At 41.2% G+C, this 5282-nt stretch overlaps 1 annotated feature.

Moving 5' to 3' along the window:
- Positions 2485-2694: an enhancer, noted in NCBI's record as "active region_28748". NCBI's record gives its function as "activates an Ori minimal core promoter by ATAC-STARR-seq in GM12878 lymphoblastoid cells {active_cell/tissue: GM12878}" and the evidence as "EXISTENCE:reporter gene assay evidence [ECO:0000049][PMID:35858748]".

The raw sequence follows: 5282 nt of genomic DNA, 5'->3' as shown, positions 1-5282 counted from the left end.
TCTCTCTGCCAGATTCCAAACACACCTGCTAAACAGATTCTTTTCTCCCAGCGCTCTGCTGACATTTCAGCTGGAACCAAAGTCACTCTCTTAGTCCACAGCATTCCTCTGACTGCTAACGGGACCATTTGTCCTCTCCATTCCTTAGGAGTTTCTCTTTGACTCTGACTGGAAACACCTAAGTCAAAAGAAAACTTGGTCCAAACCCCGAGGCTATGGCTGGGAAATAATGGAGTGGTAATCATATTCAATAGGAAACAATGAAAGCAACAGCTTCCCTCAAATGGATTCGTCCTCATCCTTGGTACTAGGTACACTTGTGCTTGTCACATTTTGTCATCCTCGAGTGGCTCTGAGGTGTCATCCAGATTTCACAAGTGAAAAAAAGATTAGAAAAACTAAAGAATTTCCCCAGAGGCACCTGACTGGTGACTAGGTCAGATGGACCCCAAGCCCATGGTTTGGATATTTCAGCTGTCACCTCTAGCAAAGATGTAGATGACTATCCCTGTGGAAATCAAGAGGTGGAAGAGACACTGGAGATGACAAGGGCTTCTCCCAAATACGTATCATGTGCATGAGTGTAAGTTCAAATCAGTCACGGCATCATGGTCATTTGGAATTCTGTGATTGGAAGATATATTAAAGCCCTTCTAAATCAAATCTTTAACGCTCAAAGCCTGACACCCTTAAGCATATGGCAGATTATTAACCGGGGATGATTTTGACCCTCTGGGAACATTTGGTGATGTCTGAAGGTATTTTCAGTTGTCACAACTTGGGCCGGACGCCTGTGGGTAGTAGAGACCAGGGATGCAGCTAAAACTCCTGCAGTGCTCAGGACAGCCACACCCCACCCCATTCCCTTCAGCACAAAACAGAATTATCTGAATCAGATCATGTCAGTAGTGTTGAAGTTGAGAAACCCTGAAAAATGGAAAGGCAAGATGAGAGAAACATGGACACTGGAGATCATCTGGATCAAGCCCCTCAATGTTATTAAAAAAAGAGACCCAAAATGGTGAAGTCACTAACCCTTGGTCACATGGCAAGATTTTGGTAGAGTTGGAGTTGAACTACACTGGACATGAGCATATGAATAGCTATATTAATAAATATCTATAATAATATGAACAATCACAATTGCAATGCATTAATAGAAAAATGTAAAAAGAAAAATATTGACAGTTATTATCACCAGGGATAGTCACATTTACTCTGCATATGTAGGTACAACAAGTATGACAGGAAGATACTGCCCATATATAATTCCTGTTTAAAAAAAACTTTTTTTTTTTGAGCAACAAGAGAGGAATGAACCAGCTTAAAATCTCACAGCTCATAAGAACCTGGAATTGAACTCTTTTCTCTTAAATCAAAGGCCTTTGGGATGACCAGCAGGGCCTTGGTTCTTTCCATGACTGAAAGGGCATTAAAAAGAGAAAGTTTATACCCATATACATGAAAACCGCAGGATATTCAAACATCTTTTGTAGTATCACAGTCATCTGCATTTGATATATCTTTTGAGTCTATTGCTATGAAGGATGTTGCATTTACTCCTGCAGGCTCTGCTATTGGGTATATAAATCGCTCTAAAATTTCTGGAGGATAATTAAGCACTATGTATGAGGAGCCACCCTTTGATACAGTGATTTTACTTGTTGGAATCTGTCCTAAGAAAACAATTAGAGTTGCAGATAGATTTATGCACAGATATTATGATAATAATAATAGCTGGGATTTATCGAGCTCACACCATATGCCAGAGTCTGTTTTAAGTGCTTTCCATGCATCATCTTATTTGCTCCTCATAACACTATGAGGTAAGTATTATTCTCATCCCCATTTATACATGGGAAGCTGAGGCTTAGAGAGTCTCAGTAATTTGGCCAAGGTTACTTGGCTACTATATTATAAAGGGAATTCAAGGCCAGGCAAACTGATTCACAGGGTTTCTTCATTTTAATTGCTATACAATACCAACTGATAGCAGTAAATTACACATTTATCAGGAAACATTGGAAAGAATCTGATGTCTAACATGAGTGCACTTGGTTAGGGGAGTTATGGCCTGTTTCCTCTTTTGGTATCTTGGCCTAAAGTAAACCTGGACTATGTCTTCCTTGGGTAGAAAAGGATGGCAGATCTGCTTGGAGGCTTTGCAGATAGTTCATATTTGTGCAGTCTGTCATTTAATAGAGCTTAACTCTGGTCACAGGAAGGAGAATGCAGCAGACCGGAACTCAGACAGACCTCAGTTTGAATCCTGGCTTGGCCACATCCTAGAAGCTCAGCCTTTGATAAGGCACATTTTCTTCACCAAACCTCACTTTCCACATCATTAAAATGGGGAAGTCACATCCACCTGGTGGAGTGGCTGCATGAAACCCTTGACTTGCAGAAGTGCTCAATGACGCACAGTGGGTGCTCACTATGAGTTAGGTGACTAGAAATAGGCAGAGATGGAGCCCTGCATTGGTGACCTGAGAAGGAAGGCTTGCTGCTGTCTGAGGGAAGGGGATTCCCAGCTGTGCTTGGGGAAGAGGAAGTCAGCGAAAGCCACTTAAGAACGTTGAATTCTTGTGGACAAGTCCTGTAAACAGCTTTAGAACAATGTAAATAGGATAACTGACAAGTCCTGTGAACAGCTTTAAAACAATGTAAATAGGATAACTGACAACAAGTCCTGTGAACAGCTTTAGAAAAATGTAAATAGGATAACTGGCTGTGAAAATTAACACAAACAGGAAAAACAGACTCTGAGAAATCCAGAGACCTGAATGCCTATGGGAGAGGGCTCTTTCTTCTGTAGAAGCCCAGGCAGGGTCTTATGGCCCCCCATCTGGGTGAGCACTTGAGGTGCAGAAGCTTGGAGAAGAACGAGTAATCAAGGAGCTGCCCCAGCCTCAGATCAGACCTACTGGACCCTAACTCTGGAGAATAAAACTGGGGATGTCACTGCAGTGACTGGATGCACATTTCTTGGTCAGCCCCCAGAATAATCCCTGCTTCAGAGGTGACTCAGCTTGGGAAAGGCCAGCGTTGATGGCCCCTTATCACAAGTGTTTGACTCACAGAGTGTGACAGCTGGAGGGGGCCTTGGAGTTAAATCATCTCAGCCAGCCCCTCCATTTGAGAGACAAGAGAGACTCAGAGAGGAGAAGGGACTTGTCTGATGTCCACAGAGTTACTAAGCAGCGGTGCTAGAACCCCAGCCCATGCACTGCTGACTCAGAATCCAGAAGAGATTTTTCTTCCCCTAGCACCTTAATGCTGTTTATTTGTAATCGTTGGTGATCTATTCATTGAATTATGTGTCCTTGCTCATGCATTTAGAGAGCTTATGCACATTTTGTACACCCAAAGCATGTATGGTGAAAGCACAGAAGTATATATCCATTCTGTCAACAAATGTTGTCAACTCTTATCCAATAATGTCTCTTGAATCCATTTCCATCTCTCTGGTTCAGACTTATCACCTTGCTTCTGGATCCTTGTAAATGTCTAGCTGATTGTCTTATCTTCAGTAACTGCTTCTCTTCTGAGACATTTTTCAACCCTGCAGACAGAATCATTTTTTAAGGAAATATTTCCATGGTTCCATTGCTTACTGGACAAAAATAAACTTCTTAGGAAGACATTCAAGGCCTTTTATGATCTGAGCCCATCCTCCCTTACCAGGCTTTTGCCTGGTAATCTAATGCTTTTGCCTACCCATGCATGACACGCATACCTACAGAAGCCACTTCAGGACTCTGTGCTCTTTTTCACAGTGTTCCCTCTTCCTAAAAGGCCTGTCTCCCATACTACAGCCCTGGAACTTTTGCTCATCCCTTAAGCACAGCTCAACCATCACCTTCTTTATGAAGCCCTTCATCATGCCTCTCCAGGCAAAACCCATCACCCTCTCTGCTCTGTTTCTCCAGTGTTCTGCACACGCTTGCATTACAGCTCTCCTATTGGATTGAGATGAGTTATTTATTTGCCTGCCTGCATCACCAAGGAGGCTGCGAGTGAGCGTTTTCACAGCAGCGACTATGTCTATCACATTCACTCGCAAGTCCTAGCATAGGGCCTGACACAGAATAGGTGTTCAATAATGTTTTATGAGTTAATGAATGCATAAATTATTGAATTAACACACATAAAATTATTTATTGCTTGTAAGTTGCCCCATCAAGCAAATAGCTAGATAGATGTTTACCAAACCTGGAGGGTATATTTGGCATGGTCTGAATTAAATTACAGCTTATGTAGGACAGAGAAATGTGCATGGATAGAGAAAACATGAGTGATTTAAATATAGCCCCAAATAAAAATCCTAAGAGAAGACATGTTGAATTGCAGGCGTGGAATAGAAGTGGGAGCTGCTTCTCATGTGGGCAACTTTACATCTCATACTCTAGGGTGAGTAGTGGCAGGTGTTTATTTGGATAATGAAGATGTGATAATTTCCAAATGCAGAACCAGGGAGCCCAGCTAGAATGCAATAATTTTTTTAAGTGAACCTGATGAACGCTAAAGTGTTGGGTATGGCGTAATGTTTTCTAGGCAGTCAGCATAAGAGAGCTGGTTCTTTATCAAGGACAACTCCTTGCCAAAGTTAAGTCCTGAAATCAACTCCCCTCCACCATTACCACCAAACATGGACCCACGTATTTAATCCCCATATTTAATCCCTCATGGCTTTAGACATAATCTTCTGACTTATATATGTGTTAGATCTGACCTCCTGTGTTTTGAACTTTTGTGTTTAAGATAGTAATTCTTAGGGGGACTTGATGTTCTTCAGTCAGTCTATGTTCAGAGGAGAAATGAAAGCTAGGAAGTTTTCACCAGCATTTTAATAGAGCTTAATTGTAACTCTCAGGTGACTTAATTGACAATGAAGTCTTTTAAGTCCATGTCTTGTCATTTGCTAATATTTTATATTTGCCCAGAAGAGGGGTGGAAATGGGTTTAGAAGACAGATGAGAAATGGTTCCATTGAATTTTTAAAAATTACATTGCTGTGTTGTGGAAGGTTGACATTTTTAGCTAAAAAGATTAGGATTAGTTATTTTTAACTATCCATCTACACTTATTTTTTATTTAGATGAATAGGTTGAAGGCAGAGTGAGTTGAGCAATATTTCTTTACAGTAAAGAGTACAGGATGCTTTTATATTTGACATCCCATGGTATCTTTCTAACAACCTGGGATGTAGGACTTAACAGACCTATTATACAGATGAGGAGTCTGAGGTGCAGGGAAGTGAAGTCATTTTCTAAAAGAAGTGA

Source organism: Homo sapiens, chromosome 9, assembly GCF_000001405.40.
Source record: "Homo sapiens chromosome 9, GRCh38.p14 Primary Assembly".
NCBI classification, from domain to species: domain Eukaryota; kingdom Metazoa; phylum Chordata; class Mammalia; order Primates; family Hominidae; genus Homo; species Homo sapiens.
The sequence above is the reverse complement of the archived record's forward strand: the minus strand, read 5'-3'. Positions and strand labels throughout refer to the sequence as shown.